The sequence below is a fragment of the Homo sapiens genome, chromosome 5, assembly GCF_000001405.40.
Source record: "Homo sapiens chromosome 5, GRCh38.p14 Primary Assembly".
Classification (NCBI taxonomy): domain Eukaryota; kingdom Metazoa; phylum Chordata; class Mammalia; order Primates; family Hominidae; genus Homo; species Homo sapiens.
Window position 1 is genome coordinate 147,739,957 of NC_000005.10, and position 20,483 is coordinate 147,760,439.

General features: G+C 38.0%; 1 protein-coding gene across 7 annotated transcripts in view; it reads right to left on the bottom strand.

The window, feature by feature from the left end:
- JAKMIP2 (janus kinase and microtubule interacting protein 2) overlaps positions 1–20,483 on the bottom strand; it is a 197,291-nt gene that overhangs the window by 154,519 nt on the left and 22,289 nt on the right. The gene's annotated exons all lie outside the window — the stretch shown is intronic.

The following is a 20,483-nucleotide window of genomic DNA, read 5'->3' on the forward strand; positions in this document are numbered from 1 at the left end:
GCAATGGAAAATGAAAATAAAGGGTTTTGGTTCATGTTCCATGAGCTGAATTTATTCAAAGTACAACTGATTATTGGTATAAACAGCTCTTTCTCCTTTTTAAATCAACTGGAACCTCACTTGCTGGACACAAGACCCTTATTTGTACAAGCAAATGGTTTCTTTTTTTGAGTCACACTTCTAACCTGCCATCCTGGCTTTAGCCAGATGCCACCAGGAGTGCTTGTTAGACATACCCAGCCCAGTTTTATATAAAGCCAAACAATATGAAAAGTGGGAATGTAGGCAGCAATAAGATGTAATGTCTAATTATAGAATCAGAATGCAAGACATACACTAATCACAGATATAAAGAAGAAATTGGGGACTGATTGCCATTACATACCTAACAAAAATCTATTGATTATCAGCACACTGTGAAGCCAGACTGCACATTGCTGGAGGTTAGGGAGCTGTGACAAAAGGACTGGTTATAGCCTTGTTTCTAAAGGACAACCTGATTTCATGCAATTTCTTTTAACAGTTGATTGAGAGCCTTGCCCAGGCTGGAACCTGGTAGTTGTGCTGATGAACCTACCCTACAACCCAAGGGCCTTCCCCATTGCTACTCAGCACACTTGAATTTCCATAAACTTTTGGACAACTTAGAAGCAGTGTGGAGGGGTCTTAGCAAGCCCGTCATCTTTGTCTTGAATGCTCTTCTCTCATCTTCCTGGAATCCCCTGGCATAATGAAAACTAAACTTGAAGCTCCAGTGTCAGGCTCTGTCTTCATAACCAGAGCTTAGCATAGTGATTGGCACTTAGTATGTGCTTGATAAATGATAGCGTGGGTGGGGGAAAGGGTCTTATTTTCATTACTGCAATCCATCTTGAAGGGCAAACCTCACACAAAGGGTTGGTGAAGAGGAATATTGTCTCCAAAATGAGCTGTGGCTTTCTTTTACATGGGGAGGCATTTTTAATATGATCATAGATCGCTACAGCTGGAAGGTCCAATAAGATAATATATTTCAGCCCTTCACAGTATCCTAGACCACTATCGCCTCATATCATATTGGCCCAGCTTCTTGGGATGAAGCCGATCAGTACAGAGATCATCCCTGTCCCTTCAGGTCTGGAAGTGTATTACAGACATATCCTGCTGCAAAACCCTGATCAACTAAAATATAAGCTCGCTAAGGTAAATTAGGTGTTAGGATACCACTTGATTAAAAAAATGTTTTACCTTTTACCTAAATACTAAAATAATTTCAGTATTTCTTCAAATATAAATTAATAGTTGCACAGAGTACATTTAAAATAACTCCAATGATAACTGCATTGCAAAAGAAAATCAGATATATACTTTTCAAAAAAAGAAATTTTCCAACTTCAGAATGTGATATATCAAAATGCTCTTTCTTTGAGAGAGTACAATCGTGTGGTATTTATTTATATGTCTATTCCTTTGAGTTGCATTACCTTTATATACATATAAAATGAATATATATAACTTGTTTAATATATAAGAAGGTAAAAGGTATAAGTATATACTTTTTCCTAGAAGCAAGAAATTTTGCTTACTTTTAAAATTCACCAGAATATTAAGAAATCTTTGTTTTACTCTGATTTATCCATTGAGCTTGGTAGTAAATTTGTTACTCAATGAAAGAAACTAATTATACAGAAAACTGGTAAAGATGGGTAATATTCATTCTAGGTTTTAACTAAGGGAAAAATTTTCCTTCAGCAAAGCACAAGAAAGTGTTTTCTTTCTAGCTCTAGGGAAAGCCTGTAAACTATAATTAAGTATTGAATTAATGCTACTAGTTTAGAATCAACGGTCAGTATAATCAATACTTGAGCCTTCATAAAGTATGGGGACAAGCATCAGCAAAACTGCTGGAAAAAAACAGAACTCAAGAATAACTCCATTTGCTGCTCTATGTCCCAACCTTAACAATAAAGGGGACAATAGTATTAATGCTGGACAAATAGAAGGTCCAGCTTAAGATTTTATTTAAACACACACACATGAACTCTATATTAAACGACAAAAGCTTTGCCACTATAAAACCACTCTGCTAACTAGTGTAATATTATTTATATACTTTATATATAATAGCGTACTATTATTTGCTACTTTGATATTGCTTTATCTGTGACCTTCTTTCTTTGTTCCGCATTAGCCCTGTGGATCATTATATATATATATATATTTTTTTTACTATTGTATTGTATCTTTCAGTGGATTTTTTGTGGGACTTTGGCTGGGTTGCAATATGCTCCTTAAGATAACGAGAGACATCCTGAGCTGTCACAAAATCCCTGATGCTTGTTTATTCAATGCAACTAAAGTGCAAGACAGTCCCCTCTCAATGCTTGCCTTCCAGGATTACGCTAACATTCTGCTCTGTTTATAAGTCAACTCGTTGGGCTCTTCTGTGGCAAGGAGCAAGTTGTTCTCATTCCTACCTTCCTACATAATCATTCAAGAAATATTTGTTAAGCATTTACTATGTGCCAGGTCTATGGGAAACAACTAACGAAGTCTAGCTCCCATGAAGTTTGCAATTTTGTGAGGGAAGACAGGCAATAATGACAAAAAATAAATTAAATAAATTTGAAGGCTAGCAGGTGACAAGTGCTAAAAAGAAAAAGTCCAGCAAGATAAGGGAATAGAGAGATGGGGGTTAGTTTATGTGGTATGATGAAGAAAGTAGATTGTTAGTGCTCAATAAATGCTTATTATGTATGTGAATGAACAGCTGTTCATAATCCTACGTTTGTTATGTCAGCTGGTCCTTCAAGAAATGATGCTAGTCCTTCCTCCAGGCATTTCTTTTTTAACTTACTGAGTTGTTAATGATCCCTACACTATTTCGGTGTTAGAATTGAAGAAATTACTGAAATGTAAGTACTAATGACTTAAAAAAAAAGTCTAGCACAATTCTTGGCACATAGTAGATATTTTACAAGCCTCCTTGATTTACAGCATTGGAAACCTGAAATAGAACTGAGTTTTGACTCACCTTAGAATTCCATACATTTTCCTAATCTGCAATGTTAGGCTTTTTCCCTGTGAGAAACTTTCCAAATAGTACCTGTAATCATAATCAACTTTACTGAGTACTTATTATGAGAAATAAATGAGTTTGTTCCATGTTAGTTCTTTAAGTCATCATCTTATGAATCCTTACACTGACACTGAGAGAAGTACTCATGTGGATCCTTTTTTCTTTTTTTGGATTGCAGGAGGTGCGACAGGCTTCAAGCCAAGGCTGTCTGACCTGAGACAAACCAATGATCACTCTCACACGCATTATCTAAATAAAACTTATCCACTTAATTTGAAGTGACTTTTTTGTAGAAGGCTGGTTAACCTGCTAAAGATACAAAAATTGCTGATGGTACTTGAATAGTAGTATTTGAGTGGGTGTTTGTGGAGGAGAAATCTTTTAATTAGAATCTGTGCATCCCTCACAATAAAATGCAGGCATTAGACTTTGATCTCAAAGGAAACTTATAGCCCTGTTATTTTTAAAATATCTACTGTTCACTAATGGGATTAGGTTGAGGTTTGACACACAGAAACCTGGATTAGTAATTTATCCTTATTGTCTCTCCATTATTCAGAAAATAATTCACAGATAGGCTGCTTGATTGGACAGTTCAATGCTACTTTGAGTTTTTATTTGTGAATGCTCCACAGTAGTGAATATCCTAATGAGTATAAGGATTCTGCCAAGGAGATTTGTCTTCCTCCTCTTGTTTTTGGTCTAGGGTATTATGTTTTGAGTTGGCTCTGGTTTCCTTGTGAATTCTCCAGAGCTACCAGAAGGCCCTTGAAGCCCTTAACCTCTTAATGATGTTCTTCTCCAAAAGGCTCAGCCCTGAAAAACAGAATTGAAATATGCTCCTCTGTGGAGGCTGGCATTTTTCCAAGGCTAATCAGAAGGCTGAATCCAGTAACCCTCCCCTGCAGCACTCAGCTAGCTAGCCAGCTTTCTTTCCCCTCCCTCCCTCCCTCCTTCTCCCTCCCTTCCTTCCTTCCTAACTTCTTTCCTTCCTTCCTTCCTTCCTTCCTTCCTTCCTTCCTTCCTTCCTTCCTTCCTTCCTTCCTCTCTCTTTCTATTTTTCTCTCTCTCTCATTAAAGCAAGTTGCTTCATTTGTTTCTTAGGGCAAAAAATATCAAATAAATGAACGAACACAGCAAATTGGCCTGTTTCCAAAGGGCAGCTAGAGATATTGAGGAGAGGACCCAGGATGGCTCTTGAATTATTTTTCCAGCTGTGCTTACCAAAAGAAAACAAGTCTTCTCTGGCCAGCTGTGTCATATTTAATGATGACAGGGGGCACTATGTCTATAAGAAGCCACCAGCTTCCACATGACCCTTTATGTGACACCATTAAGATCACACCCAGACTCTTAAAAGTTCACTGAACTTCTTTGAGGTTAATAAATAAATTGCCAAAGATTCTCCAAGGCCAAGTAAGGCTTAGGCCACTTCTATTTTGGAGCCTCCAGTTGCATTAAAGATGAATAAAAATCCAAAAGAATTCTCTGAAAGTTGTTACATATTTTAAACCTATTAAACCCATTAATACTGTTTTAAAGCAAAGATACAGAGCAATATCAGTGTGCTCCTTACAAAAATAATTACAGCATTTATTATATAAAATTAATCATAGTTTACTATAAGCTGTTTAATGGTAAAAAAATTAAAGATTGGTACAAAAATATAAACATTTAAAATGGGTGATGGATGTCTTTCAGTCCTGTTACAGTATCTCTGTGAGTGTACCCAGATCCTTGTGTGGATATAGTTTAAAAGTTAGGGCCAGGCACAGTGGCTTATGCCTGTAATCCCAGCACTTTGGGAGGCCAAGGTGGGCAGATCATGAGGTCAAGAGATTGAGACCATCCTGGCCACGATGGTGAAACCCCTTCTTTACTAAAAATACAAAAATTAGCTGGGCATGGTGGTGCGTGCCTGTAGTCTCAGCTAGTCAGGAGAATGAGGCAGGAGAATCGCTTGAACCGGGGAGGCAGATGTTGCAGTGAGCAGAGATCATGCCACTGCGCTCCAACCTGGCAACAGAGCTAGACTCTGTCTCAAAAAAAAAAAAAAAAAAAGGAAATAAGGTCTGGCCTCAGCACCTATTGTAGATTCTGTAAGATGCCATTGAGTACTTCTTGAACACTAGAACCTAAGGGAAAACATCAACAAACCGACCTTGGCGGATGCAACTTAGATCTACACTAAGAAACACTTTACCAATGATCTGAGAACAGCATGTCAGCAAAATATTAACCAGTGCAAGAAAATCTTATTTTAAGACTAAGCTGTCTTCAAATAATTTGGAGAACTCAAGATCTATTATTTTAGGTTTCCAAACCTTTGAGTTTTGTTGGATTCTGCTTGATTAACCACTCCTTGCTTTATTAACAGAGAATGCCAACAGTAACAAAATCTTGACTTGCTATCTCTGTATCATCACTGTAAGAACTAGTGATTGTCTTTGGTTTCACTTACCTAGGATTGTCTTAGGATTCATCCAGGAGGACAAAGATACCCATCCTGCCCTAATCACTCCAGACCACCATGGAGGTTTTGGTTCTGATATTTGATTTTTATGGCCTTTTGTACTCTCCTCTTTTGTTGTCAGCAATTATATTTATCACATCTGCCACTGAGCCTGCAAAGAATAGACTCTCATCTGCTCCGTACTTTCTTATTTCTTGGGAGATTAAAGATTAAAGAACTAACTTTGTTGACTGTGTCTTAGAAAAAGACACAGACATCATTAGGACAATGTTATTATGAATACATGATACATGGCATTAACTTCAATGTTTGGACTTTAGTTAATTTATTTTTGTACTTTTACTTTGTCAGAGACTCTCTGAGTCTCAGATTCTTCATCCATAAAATTATACACAGAATTTTGGTGAAGATAAGTGTATTTATATAATGTAATAGAATAGATGTCATGGTTTAATAGGAGTACAATATTATATATAATTACACTTAACTGATATACACAAGTATTTACAATTATTATTGTTTCTGATTATTAGTGGTGTTGAAGATAGAAGTTTCCAGACAACTGAATTCTGGGAAGATGAGATCAAAGTTTGTAATTTTGAGAGAATAGGATCCAAGTTGGAAAAATCCAAAAGTAAATATGCAGTTAGAAAGAACTGGACTTTTGCATGCATCAGACTCAGCCAGAGGAAATAGGTATATTTAAGATTCTTTTGAGCATCCCTGCTATCCTGGCATAGCAGGGCTTTACCATACTTCCAGAAATGCTTAAAGGCCTTTCATTCAGACATGCCAAGTAGAGGTATTCCCTCATCAAATTCTCTCCCAGAAAAAGCTCGATGACCTGGGTTGTACTCATGGACGAAAGACGGGAATAGAGTTAACACAAAGATAGAACTTCAGAACAATTTTCTGTGGCCAATTGCCCTTCTGGGACTTTAGGTTCCCTTATGCATTATAAACTAGAGTTTATATATAAACAAATGAATATATGTAAATATAATATACAAAACATAAATAGCAAATATGTAAAATAAAATATATAATTTATAAAATTTTCTATTTATATATCATTTATCATGGAGTCTGAAACATGGAAAGTACTCCAGAAACATAGCTTGTTCCATTACTGTAGAATTAAATACTCACCAAAACATCAATCAATTATACAGCTTTGTGTTTTCCTCTATTTTTATACAGTATCCTCATTCATTCATTAGTATTAAAATATACACTTTCATTTTTCTAAAAATGGTTATTACTCAGAAATTCTCATATATGTAACATTGGAAACATTACTACTATTCACATATTTAACTTTATAATTGGTGACCTAGTAGTCCACTGGTTTCCTTTAACACAGTTTGTTTAATGATTCCTATAACTTTGAACATTGTTAAGCTATTTATTCTGCTAATTAAAAAACGAAGTCACCAAATAAGCCAGTGCCCATAAGTTAGTGCTTTAAGGCAGGAGAGTGAATTTTTCTCCTAAATTCTGGGACCAACCCTCCATGCAGAGAAAGCTGTTTGTATGTCCAATGCTTACTGATGATCAGGTAAGCTCGAATGTCTTTCACCCACTCTCCCACATACCATAGTGCTTTATTATTATTATTATTTTTAACCCAATGAGTCATGAGGAGCTTTTTTGAAAAACCAAGATTCCTTTAAACTTTGGCAGTGCCACGGTGCAACCAGAGAAGGCTGACCAGTACTAAGCCATTCCACTGAGCTTGGCCAGGCAATCAACCCACAGAAATGATCTGCTCTTCATTTCTCAGTGGGGGATAAAGGTGGAAATCATCACACATATAAACATCCCTACAAGAAAAATGCTTAAAACGTCACTTCTACCTAGCCAGCAAGAGTGTCTGTTCTGAGGGTAAATTAAACCAGTTAAAGATTAAAAATTACAACACGGGCACAGCTGGGCCTGAAAACATGAGGATTCAAGCAATAACAATTGGTAACTGTCAAAGATATAGCTAAATAGAAAGAAGCTGACTCTGATCTGATGCAGTCTCAGGGCCACTTGGTCTACCTCAGGACCCCATTATAAGTCACATAAACAAATTCCATAGCTGGCTACTAGTCTTCTCCTTCCCAGGCTCTTGTGTCCCGCAGACCATCTTCCAGGTGCCATCAAAACTACTACCTGAGAGACTGTCCACTCAGAATCAGTAAGAATGTAAGGAATCACCAGATTCCATACATTTTATTTAAACTGCCCCAGCATTTCACCTCAGCCTACCTTTTTTAGGCTTATTGTTCCAGACTACTTCCCTCATGCTATGCTCTAGCCAAATTGAACTCCCACTGTTCTCTCCTATATGCCCTGTGTTTTCCTGCCTTTGTATCTTTGCATAAGCTATCTACTTTGTCTAGAATGTGTAAACACAAAAATCCTCTCAAAACTTTGGTTGCTTAACTATTGACTTGCTGGCATATATTCTTCAAGGTGCATCTCATCTGCTGCCTGTTCTGAGGGGCCATTTTTCCATACTTTATTATTGATAACAATAATTGGGAACATTGACTGAATGACTGAATGCTGAGACTATTCCGAGCACTCTGCTAAAGGTTTCATAGACTTATCTCACAAAATGATAAAAGTATAACATAATGTTGTAGAGTACAGAATGCCAGGGTTCAAATCCTGGCTCTACTTCTTGTTGGCTGTATGAGCTTGGATGTTTATTGACATTCTGTGTCTTCACGTGTGAAATGTGGATAATGATAATACAGCTAATACCAAATAGAGTTACTATGAGGAATATGTGAAATAATATATATATATAAATCCCACAGAACAGTTTCTGGCCAATTCTAATTATAAATACCTGATGCTGTTATTATAGTACCTCACAATATGCTACAAGGTAGATGTCATCATTATTCCTGATACAGGAGGTAGAAGGAAATTATTTAGGTAGATAGCGAGGGTAAAAGAATCCTCGGCAGAATTTCCCTTTTAACAAAAAGCAGCCCCAAATCATTTCTTTTCTAACAAAGAGCAGCTTGAAAAATTGAGCTGCAGACATAGATAAGCAAGCTGGAAGTTTGCACAGATGAATACTGGCAGCTGTGCCAATAGAAAAGGGCTACCCGAGGGCCAGGTATGTTCAACATGGAGATGCTGTCTTTCCTTTTCTTTGTCACCACATGTACAATAAAGAAACAGGCAACCTGGCACTGGCCAGGTAGAGAACCCATCTGCAAAATAAAAGCTTAGGGTGGGGGTGGCCATGCAAATGGCACACCTAGCCCTAACCAGTTTTTCATACCTTATGCAAATAGCACACTTGGTCTGACCAATCTTTTGTGCCCTATCTAAATCAGACACCACCTCCCCAAGCTCATCCATAAAACCCCTTGCATTTCACTGTGAACCAGAAGACCTGCTTGGGACTCCTCTCTCTGGAAGACAGAGGTTTTCTCTTTCTTTTGCCTATTAAACCTCCACTCTTAACCTCACTCTTCGTGTGTCTGCATTGTTGGTTTCCTTGGCATGAGACAACGAACCTCGGTTATTACCTCAGATGAATGATGCCGCTTCATTCCCACTTAAGAGATGAGAAAATTGAAGCTCAAAAAGGTTGAAAACATGTCCTAAGTTACATGGCTGATAAGTGACATCTAGAACACACATATAAATTTGTCAATTTGAAGCCTCTTATTTTCTGCAATATAGACAAACTGGTTGTCTTTTTGATCTAGGAATTTTCCTTAGGGCTAAACAATAACAGCAAAAAAAAAAAATTCACTAACATTTATTGAATATTTACTATGTGCCAGGCATAGTACTCAACACTACTCATGCATTATCCTACTTGATTCTTACAGCAGAATGAGCAAAAGGAACCCTTTTTAATCCTTATTTTATAGAGGAAGAAACTTTGCTTTAGAGAAACTTGTTCAGTCACACAGCTTACATGTGACAGAGCTAGAAGTCAAACCCTGGCTCTTACCTAAAACAACATCCTGCCTAGTGGAAGCTATTCCCTTACTCTTCTTTTCTTCCAGTTCTCTTAGTGGTAGCTACTTCTGTGTCACTTGACACTCTGTGAGTTGTGCATATATCACACACTCCTGCTAACCTGCCAGTCACCTGAAGAGTAGGACCCTGCCCTATACACCATCGCCTACCTAGAAATGTCTTCCAAGTAGTGGATGCCTAATAAATGTTGGACTGAATTCAATGTCACATTGGAAGTTGGATTATAAAGAATCAAATGGTGCATAAAAATATTTTGCATATATGCTAACACTTTAAATTATAATGGCAGGAGGCTTGAGTCCAGTTCCTTTATGGATGAACAATGAATGAGAAAAAACTGTTGCAATAGTTAAGAAGCTCAGCCCTGAAATTGGATTGAGCTGATTATCTTGCCCCATACTTATAAATGTTTTTGTTTGTTGGTTTGACTTATCCATTCCAAACCAGTTTCCCCATCTATAAATAGAAGATAAGAATAATATTTCCCTTTTAGGTTTGTTGATAGGATTAAAAGAATATTCATGAAAACTACTTGGGATCATGACTCATACATGGTTAGCACTCAGCAAGTTTGCTTCATAAATAAAAACTGATTTTTAAAAAGTCAAATAATTACAGAATAGCTCCTTATCATCCCAGCAATTACACGTCTAGATCTAATATCTTCCTCAGGAAAGATCACAACCATTGCGAAATAAACTTAAGTGAAGATGAGGGAAGAGAAAATAAAACACTCACTTGGGAAAGGTGCTCTGAAAGGGCCAAGCATGTGAGAAATGGCAGGAAGGAGGCCATTTTGTGGTAAACAGCTGCGTTCTTAACCCAAGGGACACAATCCTCATATGACGCCTTTGTGTTGTTAAGATGTGTGATAAAGGCCCCATGGGGAGGGTTTTCCTTTGTTCTCCAGTCTCATGGAGAGATCACATGTTATACTCACTTATTTAGAGACTCTCATCTCTAATTTGTTAAGAGCTGCAAGATTAAGACTGATGTAAAGTCTGAAGGCCAATAAGAAAAAATGAGTAAGCACACCCATTTCCCAAGGAAGATATCACTCATGGTGCCAGAAAATACACACACACACACACACACACACACACACACAAAAGAAACCTATATTACATGAAATTGCAGCATTTGAAGGTTTCTATTATGAACTGCACTGTGTTTTCCCAAAATTTATACGTTGAAGCCTTAACCCCGATCCCAACGTGGCTGTATTTGGAGATAAGAAGGTAATGAAGGTTAAGGAAGGTCTTGAGAGTGGGATTCTAGTCTGATAATATTGGTATCCTTATCAAGAGAGGAAGAAACACCAGAGATCTCTCTCCTAGTGCACAGAGAGGAGGCCATTGGCAAGCCAGCAAGAAAGGCCTCACCAGAAACCAACCCTGTAATTACCTCGACATCGGACTTCCAATCTACAGAACTGTTGAGAAAAAAATTCTGCTATTTAAGCCACCCAGTCTGTGGTTTTCTATTGCGGCAGCCCAAGTAGAATCATCCACTAACATTTGTATTAAATTCTTTCCCATCCACCTATACAAGTGATGGTTATATTTTCCCTGTTAAAAGTCAGAATGACTTTTTTTTTTTTTTTGAGACGGAGTCTCACCCTGTCGCCCAGGCTGGAGTGCAGTGGCATGATCTCCACTCACTACAAGCTCCGCCTACCGGATTCAAGTGATTCTCCTACCTCAGCCTCCCAAGCAGCTGGGATTATAGGCTCGTGCCGCCAGGCCCGGCTAAGTTGTTTTTTTGTTGTTGTTTTTTTTTTTTTTTGTATTTTTAGTGGAGATGGGGTTTCACCATGTTAGCCAGGATGGTCTCCATCTCCTGACCTCGTGATCCGCCCTCCTCCGCCTCCCAACGTGCTGGGATTTCAGGCGTGAGCCAGCATGCCCGACATGGATGACTTTTAAGAGAAAGGACTTTTGTATCTCTTTCAAGTCAAGTGGTGTGTTTGGGAGATGTAGTTTGGCTTTCCTACTTTAAACAAAAAGAAAAATTAATTACTCCCCCTCCCCCCACCCCCTTCACATAACCCTTGTTTTGTAAAGTGTCTTTATTAGGAGTCTCTTCCATAAGTACCTCCCTCTAGACATTAAGCAAGGGCACAGGGCCACAGGGAGACAAAGACCAGCTACACAGCCAAAAGCAGTGTGCGCTCAGCAATAACACAGGCTCTTTGTTAGAGGAATTTTACTCTTTTTCCTTCTGAAATTCTTTCTGGTCGAAAAAGTTTTTACAATTCCATCTCCTTAGGCCAGCCACACTTGGCACATTTGGGCAAGGAGGGTGGCATAAAGGTGTGGCCTGCCCTGATGGATGAGGTTCTGTAGGACTGCAGGCTTAAGTGGTGCTGTGGCTTACACTGATAGAGAGTACTCATCTGTTTATTCTCCCTTCCAAAAAGTATTTTTGAGGATCTGGGTTAGAGCAGTCAAGCAATAGCCAAAGTCTGCCGTCAGCTTATAAACTAGTATGAAAATACAGACTACCATATAAAAGCAACCAAATTAATAAATAAGAGACTTTCTGATGATGGGGAGTACTACAGAAAAGAACATAAAATAGAGGAATGGATGACTGTAAGTTGTCATTTGGAATGAGTCTGCATTGGGATCAGGAAGGCTTCTCTCAGGGATGACATCTGATACATAAGGAGGAATCAGTCATGCTGAGATGGGGAAGGCGAATTCCAGGCAATTAGTACAGAGGCCCTGTCAAGGGAATTACCTCGTTTTGTTTAAAAATCTGGATGAAGTATGGAGTGCCTGGGGCCAAAAGGGGTGCTGGATCAACTAGGCCATGCAGACCAAACTGAGTACTGTAAACTTAGTGCCTGAGAAATCATTGCAGGGGTTAGAGTTAAGTGAGTGACATGACCATATTTCATTTTAACAAGGATCACCCTGACTATAATACAATGACCCACAGGCCAAATCCAGCCTGCAGCCTACTTTTGTAAATAGTTTGACTGGGACACAGCTATGTCCAGTCATTTAAATATTGTCTATAGCTGCTTTTGTGCTACAACAGGAGAGTTAAGTGGTTGTGACAGAGACCTACCTTAAGGCCCACAAAACCTAAAATACTTGCTACTGGGCCTTTGGAGGAAAAGTTGGTTGCATGGCAGCAGGAGGCTGTGCAGTTATCCTTGGTGGAAGTGATGGTGGTGATGATGGCTTGGCCCATGGTGCGGGGTGGCACTATAGATATGGGGAGATGGAGAGATCTAGGACATGATTTGCAAGAAGAGACAACTAAATTTGCTGGTGAATTAAACATCAAGGGAGATAGAGGAGAGGATTGAGAGGACTCAAAATATTTCTAGCTTTTTGGCTAGAACAACTGAGTGGATAAGAAGGCCATCTGCTGAGATGGGGAGTTCTGGGGGAGGGGCAGCTTTGTGGGAAGAGTGAAAATGAAGGACTGCTGGAGAATGTTCAGTTTAAAATGCCTTTTTATAGGGCCTCTCTGTTGTTATTTTCTCAGTCCAGCACAAGAAATTGCAAAGCAACCCAATGACTTTTATCTCCTCCTCATTCTATAACACAAACAAAAGCCATGTGACCAATGGCATTATAGCTGGCACTTCCTTGGATGCTAAACCACAAACTCTCAAGGCAGGGACCATGCCTCTAATTGCTCAAAATTAGATTTCCGTCTCTACCCCAGCACCTGACTCATAGTAGAAGCTCAATAAATATTGGTTTTGAAGTGAAGAAATAGTAACCGGTTACTGAGAACTTACAATGGCATCAGGAACTGAGTAAGGCACTTAATACAAGTTACATTACTTAATCTTTTCAAGAGTTCCTCAAGCTAGTTGCTGCTATATTAATTCTACATACAGATTTAGAAACTGAGGCTTAGAGGAAAGGATGAAAAGCACAGATGCCTTTCCTACAGGGTTGAGTCAGGAAATATGAATGTGTGAAGGGGACCATGTACTGAATAATGGTGACTGGCAAGGCAATGACCTTCCTTAAGTGAGCAATGGCTCCTCAGCTGCCACCGAGCGTTGCTCTGTGCAAATGCAACCACACGATATGGTCAAGTCTGATTTTTCAAGAGAAATTGAAAATCCAGTTTATTTGATAAATATGAAGTTTCTCCATTAAACATAAAATAAATTCTTTAATGCCTGCTCATTGTTCTAGATCAGGCATTAAAGAATTCGGTCTTAGCAACTACCACTCACACATTCCTCAGTGTACTAACCATCTTCCTTGTGGTAGAAAAGCTAATCTACCCCTTAGTAAATATTATTGGTGAGTCTGGTGTAACACATTGTGCCTATGTGCTCAGCAGAATGTATTTTTTTTTTTTTTTTGCTAAAGATGTTTCTTATAATAGCTAAAGGTTCCACTAGGCACTTACTTTTTGGTCTGGAACACTGTAGCCATTTTCAGATGATGACCAGAGTGAAACTCCAAATCATATTGTCTGAGTGGCTAATGAATTCCTGTAGTCCTCCTAACGCAATGATGCAACTACACTGACATCACTGACATCACTGTGCCAACAAACCATGTGATTTTAGAATTAAAGATATTAAATGCTTCTCCTCCCCCTTTTTAAAGATTCAATTCTTGTTACTACCTTTGGTTTATGGTGACAGGTTACTCTACTGATGGTTCCAACTTAAATAATTTCATAAAAGGGAGATTAAAATGCTATCGTTGGCTTATCTTTTCAATTTTCAGCACAACAACCTCTAATTTGTAACAAGGAGAAACATTTAAAGCAAGAGGATGTTTGAAGTGTCCAACAAATTCAATCTGGTGAACAATTAATGAATGACTATTATATGCCAGGATGTGTCCTGGGCCCCAGGATACAAAACAAATAAGCCATTGCCTCTGCCCAGGAGCACTATCTTTCCAGTGGAGGAGGAAGACCCATAAAAATAATATATCGAGACACATGCTATAATAGAAGGATTACAAAATACCCTGGGAACTAAGATAAAAGGATGATTAACAATGAGGACATGGTGGCAGAGCTGAGAGAAGTCTAGCTTAAGGAAAGCTACAGAGGAAAGGTTACAACTCAGCTCTCACTTTAAGGATGACTAGAGTTTCAGAATTCAAGTCATAAGAGTTGCATTTTGGGTGATACAAGCAAACAGCTACTAAAAGTTTACCGTGAGTGAGGTATTATTGCACTCATAACTCATTCCTCACAACCCAATTAAGATTGGGTTTTCAGTCTCCACTTTTCATATTAAGAAAGTGAGGCCCAGAAAGGTGAAGTAATTTATCCAGGGCCTCATAGCTAATTATTGTGAAAACTTATATTCTATTCCAAGTCTATATAACTTGAAAGCCTGGGCTTTTAAACAGTAAATGCTATCACAAGGTAGGGTGAGCAACATGTGGACATAAAATATTGTGGTTTGAGGACTACAGATTAGGCCACTATGAGTGGAAGAGAGCTTGCATCAAGGAGCTTTGGGGGTAGGTGTGCACATGAAGAGCAGCTGTGAATATTTCAGTGTAAGGCTTGCAAAGTAAACTGGGTACAGATTTTATGACTATAGAGTTGGAGCGTTATTCCATAGGTATCAAGGACTTTTGGGATGCTTGTAAGAATCAGAATAACAAGATCAAGAATGAACTCATTAGACAAATCCAAGAGTTTTGAACAAAGCTTTGGAGAAATTAAATGCTGGCAAATCTACTAGGAGGTTATTGAAACAATCCAGACAAAAGACAACAGTCTTAAATAAGGATACTGGCAGTGAGGACAAAGAAGATTAGGATGTCCCCCCTTTTGGGACTGAACCAATGTATATCTTATACATATTGATTGATGTCTCATGTCTCCCTAAAATGTATAAAATGATGTCTCCTGTCTCCCTAAAATGAATAAAACCAAGCCGTACCCCAACTACTTTGGGCGCACTTCATCAGGACCTCCTGAGGCTGTGTCACGGGCTCATCCTTAATCTCAGCAAAATAAACTTTCTAAATTGATTGATGCCTGTCTCAGATACTTTTGCGTTCAGACATAATAGCAACACCCACAATAGTGATACACGGATGTTAAAAATAACGTTTAATTTGATGTTAGGCACCATTCTTCCAAGTACCTCTGTAATTTGTATTTGTTAATTGGTGAAAACTAACCAAGGCAGATTAACTTTTATTTTTAATTTTTTTTAGAGATAGGATCTCGTTATGTTGCCTAGGCTGGAGTGCAGTTGCTACTCACAGGAGCAATCATAGTGCATTTCATAGTGAACTCCTGACCTCAAGCAATCCTCCCACCTCAGCCACCGGCATAGTTGGGACTATTGGTCCATGCCAATGACCCAAGCTCTTTTTTGAAAGTAACTAGTCCATACACAAATAATGAATGACTAGGGGTTTCTGAGCATTCCATGATACTAGGATATAAGTCAATTAAACACACACCCTTTGAAGAGCCACAATGAAAATTGAAATCATTTAATTTATTCTGCATATATATGTATATCCTGTATTGCTCTAACAAAAAGAAACACAGGTTATTTGCAAATATCCATGTGAAAGCATGAGAAATAAATGAGCATATCAGTGCAAAGGGAAGGGACCAATAGGAATATTTACATTCTTTTCAAAAAGGAATATTCTCTTTGATTACTAATAGTTTGACTATAATGAATTAAATGGAAGTACAATTATTTGAAAGAATTATTATTCCTTTCAAAGCACCTTATAGATTCATGTCGTGACTGAAGCATCAGAGAGAAGAATTCTATCAAAGACAACTTGTATTTGTGTTGTCTTTACAGGAGAAATCATTTAAGTCAGTAAAGGTCAGTTTTAAAAAAATGATAGGGAGGCACCTGCCCTCACTCCTTACTCTGGTACACACACAAATTAGAGCATTCTAACCACCCAGCCTTAGAATTATTGCAGACGTTACCTTCTGAGCTATTCAAAAAGCCTTTGTTCATGAAAAGTTCTCATGGTTATAAGACATTAAAACAGGAAAGACCTTGCTCGGCATGATGTGTTGTATTTATATTTCTTTTTGTTTGAGGAATTCAAAAAGCTTTACAAACAACATCCAGTAAATCTCTTTAAGACTGTTGCTCATGGGAATTCTTTTCCACTCAATGCAGACTGGGACAGGTAAAGGGAGAACAAACACTGAGAGAAGAAAAGGAGGGTGGATGGGTAGCTGCAGATCTCTAAAGTCACCAAGAAGGTGCAGGGCTACTCACATTTATCCTCCTACAGGGCCTGCCAATATAAACAGCCTGTGCTCTACCCTTCCCATGTGGTAGCTGCTGTTTCCAGATTTACCATCTGTTAACACAGGTGCACAACAGAGAACAAAACAGCAGAAGTGCAGAGTAGGGAGGTAAAGAACAGAGGACATGAAAAATCAACAATTACAAAGTACTGTCTGTGTTCTGTAAACTGTGCTAGATGCTGTCATATTTTATAGTAGGTGCTCAATAAATGCTTATTTTCTTCCCCTTCACACAATTTATGCTATCTGATTAAAAGAAACTAGTTTTTTTGGTAGAGAAAAGGAAGAGAGTCCCTGTGAATTAATGTTGCTGATCATGAAATAAATGAATGTATGCATGCATGGAGGCATAAAGGGAAAGGGAGGCATGGTGTGGGGTCATGATCTGTTTACATGGTCCATACAGTGATTACACCCAGGTAGGACCCATTCCATTTGTAGGAAATATGACTATGAAAAATAACCCAAAGGATAGAGGTAGCCACTGGGACCAAAAATGCAACCTTCCTGTAAACTTTTTTTCTAGTAAAGTGGACTATCAAGGGCGAGGGAGAACCCTTCACAGGTGAAGTCACTATCTTAGTTCTTGATGATGGTAGCAGAGCTGAGACTGTGATGTGGCATTAGGGAAACTCTTCTTACTCTCTCCATCCACATGATTAAATGTGGTCCTTAAATTTTTATAAATATCTATAAAAAGACCTTCGAGAAGTAATAGCTTTCATGAAACAAGAGAGCTACTCAAATCAACTGAGTCAGGGATGGGATCCCACTGGTTCTGGAGTCTAATCGTCCTTGGTGAGAATCCAGCCTCTGTTCTTTAACCTGGGCCCAGTGATGTTATCTCTGGACCCTAGTTTCCTTATTTCTGAAAGGAGTGATCATAATGATATGTAGAATAACTGACTTTCAGAGCCGCTGTGATAATTATTAAATGAGATAATGCGTGTGGACATTTAGCACAGTATCAGACATGGTAAGAATTTAACACATATTAATTGATGTTGGTAGCAATTTTTTAAAAATCCTGAAATGATAATGCAGTTGCACCTGAGGCTCCGCATCAATCCACAAATTTTTAAAGTATTATGATAATATTTGATAGAAATATGATGAAAAATTTGACATATATGGAATCAACTTCAATCCACAGGTTCTGTTTCTTCTTTTTTGTCTCTTCGGAATGTGTCAAGTACTAATATTGATTAACCTGATTTTGACTTCAAAATATGAGCCATGACATTTTTTAAACTCATGCATAAGCTGTATCATGTGCTATTTAACTTACAAAGGATAAATTTGTCTATTAAAAGTTTATTCATCATGGATTTTATTTTAGGTAAAATAGTCAAATGTAGTAACACACGGTTTAGTAAAGATTCAGAAAAATAATGAAGGTCTCTGAGGTTTAATTCCTCTAATGAGAACATGTAAATACTACAGTAATCAGAATATTGTCCACTAGTTTCAAATTTTACAACTTTATGTAAACAGTTACAGAAAAGTCTGTGGCAATGTTGCAACTAAAAAATTTAAATAATTTCTGTTGGTAACGAAAAGGCATAGTGAGCAATAGCTAAATGCAAATGAAGGCTAATTTTTAGGAGAGGTAAAAATAACTTCTTTTAAAATACAAATCGAATGTTACATAGAACAAAGAAAAATAATTTGGAAAAACTTACATAATCTGTAGTTTATACCATATAACAAAACAAGCTTCAGGCTGTTTAATGAGTTAACTATGACCTTCAAATCATAGAACAAAACTAACTGAAAATGGACTATCAGATCTTTAAAGAGGCAATAATTCCAAATGTTTGAAAATAAAACAGTAAATCACAAAGAAAAAGTTCAACATAATTGAATATAAAAGTGTTTTGTTTTGTTTTTTGACATGGAGTTTCACTATATTGCCCACTGTGGCCTTGAACTCCTGGGCTCCAGGGAACTTCCTGCTTCAGCTTCCTGAGTGGCTGAGACTACAGGTGTGCATATCATCATGACCAGCTAAAAGAGTTTTATACAATGAAATCCCCACTAGAACATACATAAACGTATCATATATGCATGCAAAACTAAGTCAGAAAACAGCAAATAAAAAGTCCCAAGAATGCAATTTATTGAACTATGTATAGTGCAGGTGCATTGTTTAGGGTGCACTAGTGCCTCTACCACTGACCCATACACTAAGGGACATTAGTCCCTCTATTACTGGAAAGTGTCTGCTCTTACTCTTAGAAACCTCTCTTGTGACCTTCTTTTATTTTTGATGATAAAGACTTTAAGAGGTGGAAAGAGAGGCAACAAATTTTAAGGGTTATGTCTTATCTTTTGATCCTATTTCCATGGCTGGGTAAATTGTTTCCAGAAAATAATTAAGAGGAAGAGTAAAAATACATGCCCATACCAGAAGATGTTCTTATCAGTGTTATCTAATAATGAAAACAAAAGAAAATAAACAGAGGCAGGTAGAAGTTGGAAAACAGAAAAGAAAAAAAGGAGGGAAGAAAAAGAGAAAGGAGAAGGGGAGCAGAGAGAAAAAAGAAAAAAGAAAAGAAAATGAACTGAATGTCTAAAAAATGAGATGGCATATCAATTCGACTAATTATCATTTTTTAAAGATAGTTTTGTGGACCATGCAGTCACAAGAAGAAATGTTTATGTGAACTCTGATCTAGAGCATTTATGCACAAATTTGAGCATCTACTCTTCAGGCACTGTTCTAGGCTTCAGGGATATGAAAATGAACAAAGAGAGTGCTAGTGGTGGACAAGAAACAAACCAACAACTGAATAAAATACCAATCAATGATAAGTGTAATATAGGTCATTAAGATGGTGTGAGGTGCTGGAGAGCACCTGGTGGCTCCTCTAGACTGGATGGTGAGAGAGCCTCCCTTAAAACAGGACACTTAAGCTGCAATTTGAATGACAAGAAGCAGCTAACCTAATAAGGTAAGGAGAAGTGCAAGTCAAGAAAAGTGTGTCTGATTAACAGGAAGAGGAAGACATGAGGAAGAGATCAGGAGAGGAGTCTGCAAAGTCAATTCGTAGGATTTGGTAATTTTGACAATATTTAAAAGGGTCATTGTGTTCTCTGTGAGGAGAATTTACCATACAGGGGAGAGAAGCAGGTAGTCCCAGTCGTGGGTTACTGAGGTAGTTCAGGCAGGGGAAGATGGCAGCCCTACATGGGAAGGTGGCAATAGAGATGGAAAAGTAAACAGATTTAGGGAATGTTTTGAGGTAAAAGCAACAGGATTGTTAACAGATTGAATGAGAGTTATAAAGGAAAGAAAGAAATCAAGGACAGCTCTTCAAATTGGCTTTAAAACCTAATGCCATTTACTAAAATGGAGAGAAAGAAGGACACGTTTGTGCTGGGGTGGAGCATGCATATGAGTAAAGAAGTCTACTTTGCCCCTGTGAAGATCGAAAGACTTGTAAACACATTAGTGGAAATGTTAAGTCAACAACTGAGTGTGAGCCTGGACTTCTGAGGGGAAGTCAGGACTGCAGACTGGTGTTATCCTAGAGATGCAGATGCATGAGATTACCTGGGGAGAATGTAGCCAGAAAACAAGGAAGTCAAGCACTGAGCCTTGGTAAACCCAAATGTTTAGAGATGGAAAGCAGAAGAGGGACAAGAGAAGAGGCAGTCAGTGAAAAAAAAAAAAAAAATCACTCAGTGTGTAGTTAT